General features: G+C 39.2%; 1 protein-coding gene and 1 long non-coding RNA gene across 3 annotated transcripts in view; one reads left to right on the top strand and one right to left on the bottom strand.

Annotated features, from left to right (window-relative positions):
- The window catches only part of SRGAP1 (SLIT-ROBO Rho GTPase activating protein 1), a 317,518-nt gene that overhangs the window by 263,640 nt on the left and 32,097 nt on the right, over window positions 1–21,781 (top strand). For both annotated transcript variants that reach the window (NM_020762.4, NM_001346201.2), the window contains exons 16-21: window positions 593–698; window positions 3,423–3,647; window positions 7,475–7,554; window positions 17,638–17,818; window positions 19,251–19,385; window positions 19,522–19,861. In NM_020762.4, coding sequence (NP_065813.1) covers window positions 593–698; window positions 3,423–3,647; window positions 7,475–7,554; window positions 17,638–17,818; window positions 19,251–19,385; window positions 19,522–19,861 — 1,067 coding nt within the window. The remainder of the gene's footprint in view (window positions 1–592; window positions 699–3,422; window positions 3,648–7,474; window positions 7,555–17,637; window positions 17,819–19,250; window positions 19,386–19,521; window positions 19,862–21,781) is intronic.
- LOC105369798 (uncharacterized) overlaps window positions 1–21,781 on the bottom strand; it is a 31,313-nt gene that overhangs the window by 8,920 nt on the left and 612 nt on the right. The window lies entirely within an intron of this gene.

A 21,781-nucleotide genomic window follows, 5' to 3' on the forward strand; every position in this document is an offset into this window, starting at 1 on the left:
ATCAGGACATGCATCATATGAAGGCAGGAATTGTATTGCTAATGTATTCTTAGTGCTTGAAACCTGGTGGGCTCTCCTAATATTGATGGTATAATGTAATACAAGGTGAAAAGTCATATAAGTAAAATGCAGTGGTAATTTTGAGAAAGGAGAGATTCTAAACCTGGCACATTGCCTGGATCATAATTATAGACAAATATATGATGAATTAATGCATAACAGTTCGGGGAGAGGTGCCATGCCCCAGAAAGCTACTTTGGTTAGCATGCAGCAAGAAGTTGAAATCATATCAGATGCAAAATTTAGAATTAGCAGCAAAGGAAAAAATGGTTTTTAAATCTAGAAGACTCTAAATTACTCAAAGCCAAGTCCATGAAAATCGGAGAAAACGGTAAGGGTCAGAGGAGATGCCCTCTGGAATGGTGGTATACCCAAGCCGATCATTTATTCGCTGTTTTGGTTACAATTGGATCTCACACAAGAGCAGGGTGTTGCTTATATTCAGATGTGTACCGGTAATACATGTACTGCAGTGTTCTGTTTTAAATGTGGCAAGTGAAAGGACTCTGACCATGTCATCTTCTGTCTGTAGGAATAGATAATCTCTATGAGAGGGCGCTTCACATCCGCAAACTCCTCCTGACTTTGCCCAGGTCGGTCCTTATAGTGATGAGGTACCTCTTTGCCTTCCTCAATCAGTAAGTACCTGAATGCTCTGACAAAAGGCCCATCTGAATTCTGTCTTTGTTCTTCGATCCTGTAAAATGTACGTTGGGTTCCATTTATCAGCAGAGTCAAAGAGAAAAATGATTGAATATACATTGAAAAATGTACTGAAGGTACATTTTTCCTCAGCAGATCAACATCATTGATAGATGAAAGCCCTACCCCAGATGTAAAAACTGTGGCCACAAATGCAAAGATATTTAAATATTACTAAAAAAAAACCACAACTTTTCAGTGAGAAGTGTTATTCAGTGTTTTTCAGACTTTCATCCAAAACTGTCATGAATGTTTTTGTCAAAATGATGTAAACTGGCTGTTCATTGCGGAAAATTTCTGCGACTTTTTAATATTGTAGTTGAGGATGGAAGAAAATCATAGATGGGAGCTGTACACAGATCCAAAAAAGAATTTCTGCAAATTCACTGTAATGAGACCTTATCAACAAGAAAATACCTCAAAATGTTCTCCTAAACAGAGTAACAAATCTTTTAAATTACTACATTATTTTCAAAGAACTTTATTCTTTTAATTTCAGCAACTTGATTTTCAGCTATGCTACTTCCTGCTGTATGGGTTCCATTATAAGAACAGCTTCCCCAAGTCCTATCTAAGAGTACTCTTGCTATTCAACATTTCAGCTAAGCAGCTGGAAACAAAGAAATGCAGGGGGAATCAACTTATTGAGTAAACTTGGGGAAATGCCTTCTCATGCTAGCATGGATTCTCCTTTCCTAAAATTCGGATATTTTCTTTTCTCTATTTCATGGGACATTTGGAGTTCTCAGAAGCCACGGTGATTTATTACAATCCCGCTGACTAGTCCTGAAATCATACCCACTCAGCTTGACCCCAAGAGCCAAGTATCATACAATAGGGAAATGTTGGCAGAGAACCATACAGAATGAGACTCTACTGCTGACCTGTGGTGCCTAAAACATTCACAAACGACAGTAGCAACCCCTTTGTACATTAATCACCACTGGAAAAAAGCAGTATCTAGAGAGTTAAGTTTAAACTATGGTTAGGCTAGACACTATACATTTTTACCTTTAAGGAAACACACTCACTCAGGCAGTTTTAAAAGTCCAGAGGCTTGCCTGTTGCCCCACCATCACCACCACCACCATACACCAGGATGGAGTACCTTGCATTCCTGCTGGCCCCCTCCATACCATTCCTACCAAATCTTCCTGACACACCTGAACAAAATCCACTGTGAACTAATAATCCATAATGGACTAGGAAAGCAGTCTGTTAATTAAGAAAGTTCTCAAAACCTGAACCTAACTCATCATGCATCTCAAAGAATGGCAAATGCACCATGGGTGTTGCTGTTATTGCTTCCAGTGGTTCTACCCAGAGGCCCCCTAGCTGGTTGCACCTGCCTTCATGCAGACACAAGGGCCCAGCCTCTAGGGCAGGATGCTTGGGATGGGGATTATGAAAAGAGAAATTAGCTATTATTTTTTACTGCAAAATCAAAACTTGGAAGTAACATTTTTACATCAAGTTTCTGTTTGCAAGCCAGCACTAAAGACCCAGAAAGATTAACTGTGACTGTCTCCACTGAGCTGAAGTATGTCTTTTGGAAATTAGGCCATTCTTATTCAGAATCTCCATTTTCAAGATGATCTGTAATATGATCATTTACTGTTATTGTGATTTTTTAAAAAATATTGTGTGTTTGAGAAATGGCAGAAGGGAAAGACATATGTTAGCTATGGAAATTATGCTTTTGTATTTTCTACTTCCTAGACTATCTTATTTCCAAAAAAAGGGTAAAGTATCATGTCATGTGGTATCTCAGTTTCTTTGTATCTGTCATCACCTCACAAAGGTAGTTGAGTCTCCTTTTTCTCCTTCCATTTGTCATATGTTCACCTGGATTTTACATTTCCTTTCAAGATTGACATTCTATACACTGAAAGATAACATATCTAAACTCTCCCTAGAACAAGGAGCATAGCAATAAAGAGCTGGCTTATTTTGAGTCACTGTGAAAATATTTCACAAATACCCATTGAGTAGAATGTAGAAATTAGTACTAGACAACTGGAAATCTCCCCCACAGTTTGCAAGCCTTGCATAGAATAAGAGAACTGAGGATTCTTTTCCCCTTTTCTTGTATTTATAATGGCTTTTGTGACACTGGTTGTCACCTAGTGTTGAATGTCTTACCCAAAAGCAGATTATAAAGCCTGGAGTTATTGGCTCCTTTCAGTAGTTACAAAGAAAAGGTTCTTTGTTTTTTTCTAGGCTTTCTCCAAGATTTATAGGAGAAAACTAAAAATCTGAGATATATTTGAGTGGGGAGAAGACAATTTTAAAGACATCCATAAAGCTTTATGGAAATCCTCACTGTGTATCCTAAATTTACTTGAGGAACATTTAGAGCTTGACCGTCACATTTGCAAATAAAACTCATTTATGTGATCCTGGTCTCCATTGTAGTGAATATTATATTAAACCCCCTCCTGACTTTGAAAAATGCTACTTAGTTAAGCAAATAGGACTTAGAATCCCCTCTCAATTTCTACTTAGTTAAGGTCATAAGTCATTTCACTTTCTTTGGAGTTTGCTGAGCCAACTTAAAGTTGAAGTATCTTATTAAAGTATTGAAGTATCTTGTTATTAAACATTTATATCCTTTTTTTCTCTTTGTTCTTTTATAACTCCTTTCTTGTTTCCTTTTGTAGTCTATCACAGTACAGCGATGAGAATATGATGGACCCTTATAACCTGGCCATTTGCTTTGGCCCAACATTGATGCCTGTCCCAGAAATACAGGATCAAGTGTCTTGCCAGGCACATGTGAATGAAATTATCAAAACCATCATCATCCACCATGAGACTATTTTCCCAGATGCTAAAGAGCTGGATGGCCCTGTTTATGAGAAATGTATGGCTGGAGATGACTATTGGTAAGTCTAAGAATTTTAGTCCTCCTCTCCCACCGAAAATTATGGAAATATAGCTATCAATTTGATTAGAAGAAAGAGTTTCCCATAAGCCACCAATGCTTCCAACTTAAAAGGAAGAAGCAGTAAAACTTGAAATAAATTTTTAGAATACTAAGACCCATGGAAACTCATATTCATCCCTCTCTTTTCTCCAAGGACTCTTATCTTTCAAATAAATCTACCCTATCGTGGTTTTTGTAGACAAAAAGGGTTTTGATGTTATGTAGAGCTATGTTAACTTTTATCATTACATTAAATCAAGAAAAGATAACAGATTGACATTTTATTTTTCAGTCTAAATCAAAGGTTTTGGTTTCATATAAAGTGTTTTTAAATTCTCATTTTAAAGGAGCCCTGTCAACCAAATGTATTTTCATTCTTAACTTTTCATTTTCACTCTTCCTAATGAATATAATTCTAGCTATAATTATAGTTAGACCTTTAGGTCATTTTGAGCAAATTTATTATATTAATATATTTTGGGGATAAAATTTTTAGCATGGCAATATTGCCTCCCATTGCTGCAAATGACAGGATCTCATTCTTTTTATTGCTGAATAATATTCCATTGTGTAGATATACCATAATTTCTTTAATCCATTCATTCAGTGCTAGACACTTAGGTTGTTTTCACATCTTGGCTATTGTGACTAATGCTACAATAAATATGGGAGTGCAGATATCTCTTCAATATACTGATTTCCTTTCTTTTGGATGTATACCTAGCAGTGAAGGTCATTATGTTAAGTGAAATAAGCCAGGCGGGAAAGACAAATATCACATGTTCTTACTCATATATGGAGCTAAAAAAGTGGATCTCATAGAGGTAGAGAGTAGAGTGATGGTTACCAAAGGCTAGGAAGGGAAGGGGAATAGGAAGGATGAAAAGAAGTTGGTTAAGGGCTATAAAAATACAGTTAGGTAGAAGGAATAAGCCAGGTGCAGTGGCTTGCACCTGTAGTCCCAGATACTTGAGAAGCTGAGGCTGGAAGATCATTTGAGCCCAGGAGTTTAAGGCTGCAGTGAGCTCTGATCACACCACTGCATTCCAGCCTGAGCAACAAAACAAGACCCTGTCTCTAAAGAAGAAAAAAAAAAAAGGCTGGGCGCAGTGGCTCATGCCTATAATCCCAGCACTTTGGGAGGCTGAGGCAGGCAGATCACTTGAGGTCAGGAGTTCGAGACCAGCCTGGCCAACATGGTGAAACCCCGTCTCTACTAAAAATACAAAAATTAGCCAGGCATGGTGGTACGTGCCTGTAGTCCCAGCTACTCCGGAGGCTGAGTCAGGGGAATTGCTCGAACATGGGAGGTAGAGGTTGCAGTGAGCCAAGATCGCGCCACTGCACTCCAGCCTGGGTGACAGAGCAAGATTCTGTCTCAAAAAAATAAAAAAATTTAGAAGGAATAAGCTTTAGTATTCAGTAGTACAGTAGGAAAATTATAGCTAACAATAATGTATATTTCAAAACAGAAGAATTGTAAGGTTCCCAGTATGAAGAAAAAATAATTGTTTGAGGTGATGGATATCCCAGTTACCCAGATTTGATCATTACACATTGTATATGGGTATCAAAATATCACATGTACCCCTAAAATATGTACAACTATTATATATCAATTAAAAAATAGCAAAGAAAGAAACTTCAATTTCTTGAACCCCTATTATATCTCAGCTGCTTAGTGCACATGATCTCTTTTATTTAGCATGACCACTCTACCAAATAAGTTAGGAAAGGCCAAGGAGCCTTCCAATGATTAGTAGTAAATCAAAGTTAGGTGTGTGTGATTCCAAAGCATATGTGAGTCTTCTTACTCAGCAACCTCCCTGCCCACCTCAGAAACTGCCCTGTGCAGCTAGGATTCAAGAGCAGCTGGAAATAGGTTTGTTTAAATCCCTTATTCTGGACCCTGCTCACAACACTTTCTTTCTCATTTTCTTACCAAAGATTAAGTAGAAGTGGAATGAGTAGCTGAAAGATAGTTAAATAACTGAAAGTACTTTTTTTTTTAACTTGAATCATAGTATGGTCATATGCCTTAAGAAAACTTAGTTGACTATTTCCAGAAGTACTGTTTTCTAAATTAAGAATGAAACATACCTAGATTCCAGTTCTGTAGTATATTCACCAACTTTACACATGAAGTTCAATTCAAAATATTTACTTGAGTACTTAGTATGGGAAAGATACTGACTGAGCTTGGCTCTGGGAAAGTAAATGAATGCAACTCAACCCTGCTGAGATACATGATTTTATTTTCATCATTGTATTTGTTTTAAGGCCAGTACCAAAGATATGGTTAGCTTTTTTTTTTTTTTTTTTTTTTTTTTGGAGACAGAGTTTCACTCTGTTGCCAGGCTAGAGCGCCATGGCGCAATCTTGACTCACTGTATTCCCACTGCAACCTCTGCCTCCCGGGTTCAAGCGATTCTCCTGCCTCAGCCTCCCAAGTAGATGGGATTACAGGTGTCCACCACCATACCCAGCTAATTTTTGTATTTTTAGCAGAGACAGGGTTTCACCATGTTGGCCAGGCTGGTCTCGAGTTCCTGACCTCAGGTGATCCACCCACCTTGGCCTTCCAAAGTGCTGGGATTACAGGCGTGAGCCACCGTGCCTGGCCTGGTTAGCATTTTTAAATATTAGGGCTATGTCAGTAAGCTCTGCTGTCTTGTTCATTTTATAAAAGAGCAAGTTTGTAGATGTCTGGTCAATATTATTTATATTCTAGGACATTTTGTGATCGCTACTTTTTCCAGACAGAGTAAAGCTCCCATGACAGTCTTGCAGCCAGTAACGTGTGCTCGATGGTGTCTATCTTTTTCTATGGGTATTGCTCATTTTAAACAGGAAGTCAACAGTGTAGTAGTTATACTTGTCCCCCAACATCAGAAATGTAAATGGGCTTTTACAGTAATAGTAGGTTTATATTTGTGGCCCATGTATTCCATTTATCAGCACACAGTTGAGGATTGGTGGTGACAGTGTTAAGGGATAAGTTTTAAAAGAGGATAAAATCATGATTCTCATACAGATATGCAATGAACATGTGTCAAGAAAAGGTGGTAAAGATGCCACAAGCAGTTCAAAGGAGACATCAAAGAATGACCAATTTATATGTAGTAAAGGAATAGCAAAATGAATTTGTAAAAAACTGGTCTATCCATAGGGCAATAATCATATTCTACCAGAATTCAACTAATTTGTATTTCTGTGGATAAGAATTACTTATAATGCTATCCATTTTTTACAAGTTAACTTCTGTCTTTATAGAGTTGTAAAATAACCTAGTCAAAGATGAATGTATGTATCTAATATATATTCCTGTAGGACAGCATAATCAATGGAGGTGCCAGGATTCCATTGACAACTATCCAATTACTCTTTTGTCCTTATAGAGTCTTATAGTTTTCATTACAGTAGCAATTGCTCATTATTAAAATTCTCTCAGGCTGGGCATGGTGGCTCACACCTGTAATCCTGGCACTTTGGGAGATCAAGGCAGGAGGATCAATTAAGCCCAGGAGTTTGAGACCAGCCCAGACAAAATAATGAGACCCTCATCTTTACAAAAAAATTAAAAATTAGTCAGGTGTGGTGGTGCACACCTGTTGTCCCAGCTACTTGGGAGGCTGAGGTAGGAGGATCACTTGAGCCTGGGAGGCAGAGGTTTCAGTGAGCCAAGATCACACCACTGCACTCCAGCCTAGGCAGCAGTGCAAGAACCTGTCTCAAAAAATTTTTGTCTATTTTAATTTCATATGAATTTCCATTTGTATTCTACAGCGACAGCCCATACAGTGAGCACGGTACATTGGAGGAAGTGGACCAAGATGCTGGTACAGAGCCCCACACAAGTGAAGATGGTATGCTCTCCCCTTATGCTATTATAAAGCCAGTCTTTATATCCCTATTGTAAACAATTGCTTGTATTAACATTTTAGAGGCAAAGCACAGTGGCTCCTACCTATAATCCCAGCACGTTGGGAAGCCAAGGTTGGAGGATCACTTGAGCCCAGGAGTTCAACACCAGCCTGTGCAACATAGTGAGATCCCATCTCTACAAAAAAATACAAAAAATTAGCCAGGCGTGGTGATGTGCACCTGTAGTCCCAGTTACTCAGAAGGGTGAGTTGGGAGGATTGCATGAGCCCAGGAGTCTGAGGCTACAGTGAACTAGGATAGCGCCACTGCCCTCCAGCCTGGGCAACAGAACAGACCTCATCTCAAAAAAAAAAAAAAAAAAAAAGTAGATTAAAAAAAATTCATAAAATATGTGTAAGGTATAAAAAATAACATTACAATGAAAACCAATGAAACCACCACCAAGCTTAAGAAAAAAAGACTTATTGTTTCCTTTGCACTTCCCTGATCTGACTGCTTTACTTACCCCCTCAGGAGTAACCACTATGTTTGTGTTTTTAAATAGTTTCTTGTTTCCTTTTCTATTTTCTTAAATCTTCTATAAGTGGGATCATACTGTATATATTTTTCGTGAGTTTTTTCTACTCAGTATTATGTTCCTGATGTTCATCTGTGCAGTTGCTTGCAGTTTGAACTGTTTATTTTACCACTGTATAATATTCCATTGTATGTATCTATTCCGTTCTTGATGAATATGTCAGGTATTTTCTACTCGTTGCTATTAAGAACAGTGCTGCTATGCACTGTTAGGACATTTTGAACATGTCTTCTACTGAAAATGTACAGGAGTTTCTCTAGGATGTATGCCTAGGAGTAACCGTGTCTTCAGCTTTACTCTATACTGTCAAACCATTTTTATGAAGACAGTTGCTACTTATAGTTCCCCAGAGAAGGGGGCATGCCATGCTATGGGAAGCTACCTGGGGAAGCATCAGGAGGCAGAGGGAGAGTGAAGACTTTGGTGTGCTTTCCACAGGAAGGCATCAGTGAGGCAGGGTAAGCAGCTTTAGGGTTGCCTAGTTGGAATAATTTCAGCAGGCTCTGGGGCATTAGGGGATGTCCCAAGTTGTCTGGTACCTACCTGGCCCTGGGGTGCCGAGAATAGGGCAGCAGTGGCCTGGAGTGGGAGAGCCTGATAATCAGGGTGGTGGGGTGTTGGCTCCAATGGGCAGGTTGGTGTTTGGAAAGTTTGCTTGTGGGTGAGTTGTTTACTATCTCCAGAAATTGGCTAACCCTAGAGGGACTGTCCCTCCAAGGTCAGCAAGGCCCAAGAGGTCAGAAGATAAAAGACATGGTTGATAATGTGTTTATTTATCTTTTGTAAAATTCCTATCAAGTCTTTTGCCCATTTTTCTATTGAGTTTTCTGGGCTCTTTTTGTTTGGTTTCGCTTGGTTTTGTATTTAGTTGTTTTTTTATTTGATTTGTAAGGGTTCTTTGTGGGTCCACATCAGGTCCTTTACTGGGTATATGCTTTGCAGATATCTTCCCCTGCTCTGTAGCTTTGTTTTTCAAATGCTTATTATGTCTTTTGCAAAACAGAACATCTTAATTTTAAAGTAGTTAAATTTATCAATCTTTTCCTTCATGGTAATTTTACTTCGCATCTCCTTTAAGAAATCCTTCTGTGTCTTGAGGTAATAAATAATTCTCCTATATTCTCTTATTTTATTTTATTTTGGTAAGAACACTTAAGTGTACAGTACCTTAGTGTTGACCATAGGTACAGTGTTATACAGCAGATCTCTAGAGCTTGTTCTCCTTGCTTGACTGAAACTTTATTCTCGCTTATTAGTAACTTCCCATTTCCCGCTTCCCCCAGCCTCTGGCAACTACCGTTCCACCCTTTGATTCTATGAATTGGATTCTTTTAGATACCTCATATAAGTGAACTTACATAGTGTTTGTCTTTCTGTGTCTGGCTTATTTCACTTAGCAAAATGTCCTCCAGGTTCATCCATGCTGTCACATATGTCGGGATTTCCTTCTTTTTACAGTCTGAATAGAATGCCATTGTATTTACCTATATTTTCTTTATCTATTCATCTGTCCGTGGACATTTAGGCCATTTCTACATCTTGGCTATTGTGAATAGTGCTGAAATGAACATAGGAGTGCTCTTCAAGATCCTGATTTCAGTTATTTTGGATAAATACCCAGAAGTAGGATTGTTGGATCACATGGTAGTTCTATTTTTAAGTTTTTGAGGAATCTCTGTGCTGTTTTCTGAAGCAGATGTGCCATTTTGTGTTCCCACCAGCAGTGTACAAAGGTTTTAATTTCTCCACATCCTTGGCAACGCTTATCTTTTTGTTTTTGTTTTTGTTTTTTGTTTTTGAGACAGGGTCTCACTTTGTCACCCAGGCTGGAGTGCAGTGGCATGATCTTGGCTCACTGCAGCCTGGACTTCCCCGGCTCCAGTGATCCTCCCACCTCAGCCTCCCAAGTAGCTGGCACTAGAGGCACATTCTACCACACCCAGCTAATTTTTTGTAGAGATGGGCTTTTGCCGTGTTCCCCAGGCTGGTCTTGAACTCCTGAGCTCAAGCCATTTACCTGCCTTGGCCTCCCAAAGTGCTGAGATTATAGGCATGAGCCATTGTGTCCAGCCAACATTTGTTACCTTTTGTTTGTTTTGTTTGTTTCCTAACACAGTGGGATAACCTCATATGTGGTTTTGATTTGCATTCTCCTGATGATTAGTGATGTTCAGCATTTTAAAATATACCTGTTGGCTGTTTATATGTCTTCTTTGGTGCCTTATTTATTTATTTATTTATTTATTTATTTAGAGATGGAGTCTGTCTGTCCTCCATGCTGGAGTGCAGTGGCATGATCTCAGCTCACTGCAACCTCCACATCCTGGATTCAAGTGATTCGCCTGCCTCAGCCTCCCTAGTAGCTGGGACTACAGGCATGGCTAATTTTTGTATTTTTAGTAGAGACAGCATTTCACATGTTGGTCAGGCTGGTCTCAAACTCCTGACCTCAAGTGATCCGCCCACCTCACCCTCCAAAAGTGATGGGATAACAGGCATGAGCCACTGCATCCAGCCCCATATATTCTTTTAAATCCTTTAAGGTTTTGCTTTTCACACATAAGTCTTTATTCCACCAGCAATTTATTTGGGGGTATGGGATGAGGTAGGGATCCATTCCCTTTTTCTTTATATGGATATGTAATTGTCGCAATTATCTCAGCATTAATTGTCCTTTCTCCACTGCTCTACATCTTTGCCATAAATGAAGTATCTTCTTTGTGTGAATTTCCTCCTGGGCTCTATTCTTTTCTACTAGTCTACATGTCTATCCCTATATCACTGTCCTAGTTTTGATACCTTTTAATAAATCTTAATCGTTCATAAAGCAACACCTCTGCTTTGTAATTCTTGGCTCTTTGCAATTCCACTTAAATTTTAGACTCAGTTTTTCAAGTTCTTCAGACAAACAAAACCCTCTAAAGCCCAACTGGAGTTTTGATTGCCTTTGTATTAATTCTACCTATATTAATATGGGGAGAATTAATATCGTTACAATATTCAATATTCCAGTCCATGAACATATTTCCAGTTATTTAATGTCTCCCAAATAAACTTTTTATTCTTTCTCTGTAGAGATTTTTTTCATTTTCTAACTTAAGTTTAAGGCTTAGCATTCATTTTCAACACTTTTTACTTTTTAATATAAACATTTAAAGCTGTCTGTTTTCTCTAGTACTTCTTTAGCTATATGCACAAATTCTTTTTTTTATTTCTTCAGCTGTAACTAATCTGCTTTAAGCAGATCCATTGAATTTTTATTTTTAAATATTATTTGTTTCTTTTTTTTTTTTTTTTTTTGGCAGAGTTTTGCTTTTTTTGCCCAGGCTGGAGTGCAATGGTACAATCTCAGCTCACAGCAAACTCCGCCTCCCAGGTTCAAGTGATTCTCCTGCCTCAGCCTCCCAAGTACCTGGGATTACAGGTGCATGCCACTATGCCCAGTTAATTTTTGTATTTTTAGAAGAGACAGGGTTTCACCATGTTGGCCAGGCTGGTCTCAAACTCCTGACCTCAGGTAATCCACCCGCCTCAGCCTCCCAAAGTGCTGGGATTACAGGTGTGAGCCACTGTGCCCAGCCTTTAAATATTATTTCTTTCTACAAGTTGTATTTGATGTGCTTTTATATCTGCTGCTTGATCATTTTTTATAGTCTCTGGCTATTTATTCATTAGCGCTTCCCATCAGAATATGTGTCTGATAATTTCCATATGTCTTCCCAAATTTGTTTTGTTGGCTCTCACTCATTGAGTCTTATTTTCCACTGTGTTTGTAAATTTTGTACAGATTTCTTGGAACTTTAGGCTCAGTGGAAGGTAGATTCTTCCAGAGAGGGTTTTCATGTACTTCTGCCTGGGTTACAACCAGCCTAGGACAACATTGAATTTTTGGCTTGAAGTTTTTCAAACCACCCAGGTAGTGCAAATTTAAACTGCAAACCTACCTGAGAACTGGAATGTGGATGGGATTCTCAGATGATTTGTGTCAAGGTTTAAGATAGGTTATTTCCTTAATGGGGGTGGAGGGCAGGGGAGATGGTTACAATCTATGGAGAGGTATTGAGAGCTACAAGGGGATAAGATTTCTAGAACTAGATGTTCTAGAACTAGAAGTGTTGTAGAAAGTTCTAGAACACTAGAGTGAAGTTCACTCTGAAACTGAGGGTGTAATTCTCTGAGGGTGGGGAGGAGGGGAAGAGGCTTAGATTCCCTAACACTGGGCAAGCCCTGGACTTAATCTCCTATGAAAAAAAATTAAAAAGCTTAAGGTGACCAGGCTAGAAAAATGCCCTCAAGGCAAAATCTGACTCATGTTCTAATGTTCTGCTTACCTCTCTGGGTTCCCACTTTCATTCCATTTTGGTCTTTAGTATTCTTTACTGTCTTGATAGCTTATTAATGCAATTACAAAGGTTGGTTGTTTGCTTTTAAATCCAGCATTTTTTGTTCATTCTAGCAGGAGGGTAATTAAGGTATCTAGTGTCCACTATCTGCTAAAAAAGAAAGCTTCTTTGTGTCTTTTTTTTTTTTTTTTTTTCTGTGAGACAGGGTTTCCACTCTGTTGCCCAGGCTGGAGTACAGTGGCACAATCTTGGCTCACTGTAGCCTCAACCTCCTGGGGCCAAGTGATCCTCCCACCTCAGCCTCCTGAGTAACTGGGACCATAGGCATGCACCACCATGCCTGGCTAATTTTGTATTTTTTGTAGAGACAGGGTTTCCCTATGTTGCCCAGGCTGGTCTCAAACTCCTGGGCTCAAACGATCCTCCTGGGATCCAAAGTGCTGGGATTAGAGGCATGAGCCACCCACGCCCCGCCTTCCTTGTGTCTTTAAAAGTAAAATCAGTTGACATTTTCTGAACTTAATTTACAAGACATCCTTTAAAGTGAGAGCTTCTATTTCTAAAATGTTGCTCTTTTTTTATTTTTATTTTTTTTCTTTTTCTTTAGAGACAGGGCCTTCCTGTGTTGCCCAGGGTTGTTTCAAACTCCTGGCCTCAAGCAGTCCTCCTGCCTCAGCCTCCCAAAATGCTGGGATTGCAGGCGTGAGCCACCATGCCCAGCCTGTGATGTTGCTTTTGAAAGTCTCTGAGTCCTGCCTCTGCCACCATCCTTTCTTTTGGGTTTCTTTGTTTCTCACATGGTTTATTTCTTTTTCACTGCTGCCTTCTCTTAGGTGTTTCCCTGCTTTCCCCAGTAGCCAGAAAAGCCAGGACAAAGCCCAGCCATCTCTCTTCCCAAACATGAATCTCACCATCATGCCATCTGCCTTTTACCTCTTGACTATAAGAGAGCTTTGCTGAGTGCTCTGTGTTTTAGATAACATTTTGACCATGTTCACCTGATTTTTTGGAAAGAAAAACATTGCTTACAAAGGACAGATATTCTCACCCGCAGCCAACCTCCAAAATCCTATAACTAAATTAACTAGAGTATCAATTATCCTTTGATTGCCGAGGTATTGTATTTTTTCTCTGTCATGGATCACTAGAGAGAGTAGCTTTTGTTTCTGAAAGACAGGCTATCACAGAACAAAACCATTCTCTGCAAGGACAGTGGGTAACAGATCTAGGAGGAAAAATGTCAGCAACAGCAAGGTTCCAAAGAGAAAGTGTGATCACATTTTATATAACATTACAAGAAATGGAAATATAAGATTTGACAGCACCAGGCAGTCAGGGAATCAGCTGTGTTGAATTGTCTTCCCTTTTGCACAAAATTATATTACCCATGCAGGAAAACTAAGTGATCATGTTGCACTCTCACTATTATTGTTATTGATAGCAGCAGTAGCAGCATTCTATGAAGTCTCTGCAGGACCTTGAAGTACTGTGAGGCTTTCTATATGAAAGAGGCACAGTGTACCATGCCCTGAGATTGATTTGCTCTGCAATGACCAGACTAAGATGTGTGTAAATAGCTTATTGATTGACACTTGACTGTGAAATGGCTCTCACAGGAGTAGAAAGAGTAAAAATAATGAAATTGCTGAGAATTACTAGTTGATGTACTAGGATTGCCAATAAAATGTTCTGCTGATTTATCTGGTCATCCTGTCATAACCTGACCACATTTGAATAAATAAGCAGAGTCTGATAATCCTGTTGCTTGTTTCAAAAAAATAATAAGGCCAGGCCCAGTGGCTTACACGTGTAATCTCAGCACTTTGGGAGGCCGAGGTGGACGGATCACAAGGTCAAGAGATCGAGACCATCCTGGCCAACATGGTGAAACCCCATTGCTACTAAAAATACAAAAATTATTGGGGCATGGTGGCACGTGCCTGCAGTCCCGGCTACTCGAGAGGCTGAGGCATGAGAATCGCTTGAACCCGGGAGGCAGAGGTTGTGGTGAGCCAAGATCACGCCACTGCACTCCAGCCTGGGAACAGAACAAGAGTCTGTCTCAAAATAAAATAAAATAATAATAAGAGGAGATGATCATAGAGGTCGTGATTGTGCAATTATAATAAAATATGTATATATCTGTTGAATAGTTTTAACTATGTTGAATGGCCAGCATTGACAGTGTGTGATTGAATGTCATTAAAGAATATTAATGGTTCTGTCTTTATTTCTGTAACATAAGTATATGTAGACTGTATACTGTATCATGTGTTGGTATCTTTTAATTTTTGTAAGTAAAGCCAAATACAAATATGTGGGTGTGTTCACACAGGAATTTGCAAATTACATGTCCTGAAGTTCTTGTAAATAAATTAGCATGCCACGTCTGTAGTCCTAGCTACTTAGGAAGTTAAGGTGGGAGGATCACTTGAGCCCAGGAGTTTGGGGTTACAGTGAGCAATGATTGTGCTACTATATCCGGCATGGGTGACAAAATGAGACCCTGTCTCAAAAAAACAAAAACTAGCATGTCTTCATTCTTCCATGGGGTGTTTATTTCTTTTTCATAGGAATAACTGGGGTACATATTTGGGTATCTGTCATCTCAAGTCAACCAGGATTTATTCTTTAAGTTTTGAACTATAATGAGATCATTCCCTTTAAATATAAAGTTATAGTCCCTCCTCTATGAAGCAGACACATAGATGTTTAATAAAGCTGCTATTTATATTGTTTTGGTAAAATATAATTTGGGGGAATACCAGAGTGTTAACATATAATCTAAAAGTTTTATTCAATTGCTAAAGGATTTATTTATTTATTTATTTATTTATTTATTTATTTATTTATTTTTATAGAACTGAGGCCTCACTGTGTTGTTCAGACTGGTCTCCAACTCCTGGGCCACACAGTGATCCTCCTGCCTTGGCCTCCCAAAGTGCTGGGATTACAGGCGAGAGCCACTGCACCCAGCCACTAAAAGATTTAAACTGTTGTTTTAAACATTATCCTTACAACTACTTTGTTGGGAAGCCTACTGTGCAGATTATAGTGTTGTGGTTCTGCAATACAAAATATTATTCGCCTCAAACATTATCCACTAGAGACCAGGCACCTATAATCCCAGCACTTTGGGAGGCCATGGCTGGAGGATTGCTATGTTGCCCAGCAGTTTGAGACCAGCCTTGGCAATGTAGCAAGACCCTGTCACTGTTTAAAAGAAAAAAAAAATTATCCAAAGCAAAAAGAAGGGGCATTTTTCTTTGTCTTTATTTAAAATGTTTGGCTGAAATTTGGCCAGGGCCTTTATATAATAAGGTGAAGCCTAAGCTTTTTAATATGTTTGTTGGTTTTTATGCTTTCGCCTTCTATGTCCCAGAGAATTTTGAATATATCAAATGAGAAAGAAGCCCAGCTGTCTGTCCAAGAATTTCTCATGCAATGATTATAAGTACAATGGCTATTGCAGTAAACTTTTGGAAGAATAAACTCTTTTAAATGGGAAGGTTTGCTACCAAATAGAAGACAACTTCCCGGGGAATTTTTGAGATAGGCAGGTTTTAATCTCTTCTGTGTACACGTATTCTAGAGTATTTGGAAATGAATGCATGCCCAGTTTTTAGCAAATGATGTATTGTTCATTGCATAGGCATATTCCTGTAAGTATATGCCCCTTGCCTTGGCCCCTTTTTGTCCTGTTTATTATTGAAGAGAAGTTTACTCACCTTTGTTGATTACAAGGCTAAGGATGAGGTATTTGTGGGAGAGGGGAGCAAAGATCATAAGGCCTCAAATTGAGGAGCTTCTTGCAGTAAGATAAATCACAAAGAAACACCTCTTTGGTTGCTGAGTCTGTCCTCCTGTTTGCCTTCAATATTTGTGGTCAGAATTAGATCAGAGCTGAATTCCAATTGTAAGTCTAGCAGTTGATATCTTTTTTTTTCTAACTTATTATTTTGAAATCATTGTAGATTCACAAGCTGTTGTAAAAAACAATACAGAGAGATCTCGTATACCTTCTGCCAGTTTCTGTCAATGGTGATATCTTACAAAACTGTAATATCATTTCACAAGCAGGAAATTGACAATGATACAAACCATTCACTATATAAATGTTTCAGCAGCCTTACATGCACTCCTTTGTGTGTGTGTTTACTTAGATCTGTACAGTTTTATCACATGTATAGCTTTGTGTGACCACAACCCATACTCAAGATAACAAACAGTTCCATTACAAGGAACCCTTGTGCTACCTTTTGTAGCCACGGCCGCTTCCCTCCATCACCTTCCCATCCCCAACCTCTGGCAACCACTAATATATTCTCTATCTCTATAATTATGTCATTTGAAGAATGCTATATAAATGGAATTGTATGGTATGCAATCTTTTGAGATTGGCTTTTTTCACTCACCATCATTCCCTTGAATATCTTTTGATCTCAAGAAAAATAAAAATTTTGCATCTGTTTTTTTAATTTGGACAGAGGGCAATTTAAGGCATATTTGTTTTATGGTTAAGATCCAAAATTTGTTACTGATACTAGAGAAAAAAATCGGGATTACCGTCAGTGTTAGTTTGAAGATTTGATAGTGCCAGAGAGCACATGGGGAAATTAAATGTATTCACATACTATTTATTGTGATTTTACTTGATTTTTTCTTAAGTAAGCCGGTAAAGCATAAACTTCCTAATGTTCTGAGATGGTGATTTTTTTCCATGTTATAAATGGTATTAACATGTTACAAGGAAATTCCCTCAGTGTCATCTATCAATGCCAAAATCATATTGAAGCAATTGTGGAGGATATTACAACTCAAGGAGAGATTTTATATATCCTATTGCAAAGTTTAAAGTATTTTTTTTTGACTGTCATTATATCTCTAGTAAGAGGCTGTGGAAATGAAAATCCAGTGTTCAGTTTTTCTTTGTCTGAAAAACTGATGACAGCAAGATAATGTTTTTCTGTATCTTTTTAAACAGCCTCTATTTTCTCCTGCCTTGATAATATGTTGATGACTCTGTTCAGTCTAGATATTAAAATGGTCTTGATCATTTGAAGCCTCATAGAGCCCTCACAGATAGGATACCATGCCTTCCTAACAACCCTGTTTCTCGCTGTTTTCTGGTGTGTTCGTTGTAGAATGTGAGCCAATAGAAGCAATAGCCAAGTTTGACTATGTTGGGCGGTCTGCCAGAGAACTATCCTTCAAGAAGGGTGCCTCCCTGCTGCTGTATCACCGTGCATCTGAGGACTGGTGGGAAGGCAGGCACAACGGGATTGACGGGCTGGTGCCTCACCAGTATATAGTGGTGCAGGATATGTGAGTAGTCTCAACTTTGATTGCCTGAGTGCTCCCAATAGAGGACTCCAGCCATTGTTCTTAAACTGACCTTGGTCTTGTGAGAAAGGAGCAGAAGGGATTACAGAGATAAAACTTCAGAGCTAGGCACAGTTCCTTACCTTGCCAGTGGCTCTTTGCTAACAGTAAGTCAGGGCCCAGGAGGTTTGGAACAAGAACTCTGGGGAGACATCTTCTGAAGCTTTCAGATTGTTAGAAAAATAACCTATGCATAGAATGGTGTTAAGAGCTGAAGTGACATTGGTAATTCCAAAAACAGCAGTGCTCTTCTCTTGATGTCTGTTTACCGTTTCAATTCCAGATTCCCCAGAGGAAGGACACTGACCTAAAGTCAGAGGGAATCATTGCTATGCTGTTTTTTGTTTTGTTTTGTTTTTTGCTGAGGAGAAAGCTCTAATTTCAAAAGTATTTAAAGACATGGGAAGATAGTCATAACATATTAAGTGAAAGAAACAGGTTGCAAAATAATGTGTAGTCCAAAAGTAGCTTTTTAAGGAAAAGACAAATATAGCACACAAAAGGTATACAGTGACTGAATCATTCAGCCTAATTTCAGAAATGTTAAAATGTGTATCTCGGAAGCCAAGAAATGTGTGTATATGCAGACATGTAGTCATATATATCTGAAATATCTACATATAAATATATTCATATATAAAATAAATTTGCATAACTATCTGTACAGTCATGTACCACACAATGACATTTTGAGCATCAATGGACCACATATATGATGGTGGTCCCATAGGATTTAATATCCTATTTTTACTGTACCTTTTCTATGTTTAGATATGTTTAGATACGCAAATACTTGTTTACACCATTGTGTTACAACTGCCTGTAGCATTCAGTACAGTAACATGCTGTGCAGGTTTGTAGCCTAGGAGCAATAGGCTCCACCATGTAGCCTAGGTGTGCAATAGGCTCTACCATCTAGGTTTGTGTAAGTGCACTCTATGATGTTCCCACAATGATGAGATTGCTTGACAACGCATTTCTCAGAACGTATCCTCGCCGTTAAGCAACACGTGACTGTAGTATAAATGCCATACATATGTATGTACACAATCACAGATATGTATCCCAGGCATAGAATAGAAGATGGAGGAGGATATTTCTTAAAATTCTAACAGTAGTTGTCTCTGGATGTTATATTATGGGTGATTATTTCAGTCTTTTTTGTATAACTGAAATTGCTGTTGTACCTGTAATGAAATTGTATTGCTTTTATAATGAAAAGAGAAAAGTTATTTTAATAAAAGAAGGGCTTTCATGCATAATGCTATTTCATACATAAATGCTATCACGTAAATTTTCATCTCCACTCATCTAGCAAATTTTGTAAAATTTGTAAATCTAGTAAATTTTGTCTCCATTCCTCTTACTGCTTCAGGGATGATACGTTTTCAGACACTCTGAGCCAAAAAGCCGACAGTGAGGCCAGCAGTGGGCCAGTCACGGAAGACAAGTCCTCATCCAAGGACATGAACTCCCCGACAGACCGTCATCCTGACGGCTATTTAGCCAGGTAAGTAGAGCCTGGGAATCAGGCCCCTAAGCCTCCGCTCCTCCTGGGGCCATGAGGAGCCACTGCACCTCAGCCTTGCAGTACTGCCCGGTGTGATAAGCTCTTCTGTTTTCTCCCTGTTTCTGTGAATGTCTAGGCAACGAAAAAGAGGAGAGCCACCCCCTCCAGTAAGGCGTCCTGGCAGGACCAGTGATGGCCATTGCCCGCTCCACCCTCCACATGCCCTTTCTAACTCCTCAGTTGACCTAGGGTCCCCAAGCCTTGCCAGTCACCCCCGGGGCCTGCTGCAGAACCGTGGCCTCAACAATGACAGTCCTGAGCGGAGGCGCAGGCCTGGCCATGGCAGCCTGACCAACATCAGCCGGCACGACTCCCTCAAGAAGATCGACAGCCCTCCCATTAGAAGGTCCACGTCATCAGGGCAATACACGGGCTTCAATGACCACAAGCCACTGGACCCAGAGACAATTGCTCAGGTACGATGCTTTTAATTACATATTGCATTTTAAGTACCTAAGTGTGATGTAGGAGGTGTGAAAGATTTACTTTATTTACTTTTTACTTTATTTACTTTATATTTCTGTATAGAACCAACTAAAGAAAACAGAAACAAAACCAGCTCATTCTTTAACTTAGGCCCTGAGTCTTTTTTGAACAATTTGTTACTGAAAGGGCCCAAAGGTTCATAGTGATTTAAACAGAAACATGACAAAAACGTAGGACCAGGACACTCAAACCTATCATTGTGAATAGCCAGAAAAACTTTGAAAAAGAAGAATGGGAAAGCAGTGGCCCTGCCAGATCCTAAATGCATTCTAAAGCTAGTAAAACAGACAGATGGATGAAACAGAATGGAGAGCCCAGAAACAGAAAAACCTTAAAACAGTAGTCCCTCCTTATCTGCAGGGCATATGTTTCAAGACCCCCAGTGGATGCCTGAAGCCACAGATAGTGCAAACCCCTACTGTATATGATAAAGATGGCACTTTCAACTTAGAAAAGATGAGACCTAATAAATAATGTGATCAATAATAGATAGATATTTGAAGAACAAGTCTGGATCCTATGTACCTCCTGAACACATTCAGGTCTTTGCTTCCCAACAGTGACTGCAGAGGGGCTGTGTAGTTTTCTTCTAATGACTAAAATTGACCAAGTAAAAGGGAAACAATACTAATAAATTTGCCCATCATTCTACCATTTTTCCCTCTGGTTCTGGCTCTTTTCACAGCACAGGCCATGAGAACATATGTTCGTAGGCCTAGTGGGTGGCTTACACCTGTAATCCCAACACTTTAGGAGGCTGAGGCAAGAAGATAGCTTGAGGTTAGGAGTTTGAGACAAGCCTGGTCAATATAGCAAAATCCCGTGTCTAAAAAAAAAAATTTTTTTTTAATTACCTAGGTATATTAGGATTCTCTAGAGGGACAGAATTAATGGAATATATATACATATAAAGGGGAGTTTATTAAGTATTAACTCACACAATCACAGAGTCCCACAATAGGCCATCTGCAGGCTGAGGAGCAAGGAGAGCCAGTCCAAGTTCCAAAACTGAAGAACTTGGAGTCTGATGTTCAAGGGCAGGAAGCATACAGCACGGGAGGAAGACGTAGGCTGGGAGGCTAGGCCAGTCTAACCTTTTCATGTTTTTCTGCCTGCTTTATGTTCACTGGCAGTTAATTAGATGGTGCCCATCCAGATTAAGGGTGGGTCTGCCTTCCCCAGCCCACTGACTCAAATGTTAATTTCCTCTGGCAACCCCCTCACAGACACACCCAGGAGTAACACTTTGCATCCTTCAATCCAATCAAGTTGACACTCAGTATTAACCATCACAAGTCTACCCCTTGTCAACTTGAACCCATAAACATCTCCTGAGATCGTACATAATCTTCAAATAAAAACAATAATGTCATAATTACGCCTAACATGATACAACTGTCCTTTCCTATAACCGGAAACACACCAATCCCCAACCCAAATGCTATTACATAAAGTTAACAATACTTAAATGCTGATAGGAAGTCAATATAATCTTATGTCACATGCTAAAGGAAAAAGGAAATAAAATGAAGATATTTTCCTAGTACAAGTGTATACATGCACAAACATGTTTTTAACGAAAGAAGGAAATACTCATGACAATTACAGTCCCTGTTTCCACGTGGTCATAGCTGGTATTGATGACTACCTTCTACTACCCATTCCGTATTCCCTTTGCCTTCAGCAAGCACCTCAGCAGGTCGTGGTTGTTGTTGTTGTTGTTGTTGTTGTTGTTGTTTTCCTGGCGGAGTGACCCAAACCTTCATTCCTGAAGGGTCTGGGCCATTTGTAGTCCTGCCTGGATTGGGCTATTGTAGTTTCCCATTGACCTTAATCACAGAGCGTGGTAA

This window comes from Homo sapiens, chromosome 12 (assembly GCF_000001405.40).
Source record: "Homo sapiens chromosome 12, GRCh38.p14 Primary Assembly".
NCBI lineage: Eukaryota > Metazoa > Chordata > Mammalia > Primates > Hominidae > Homo > Homo sapiens.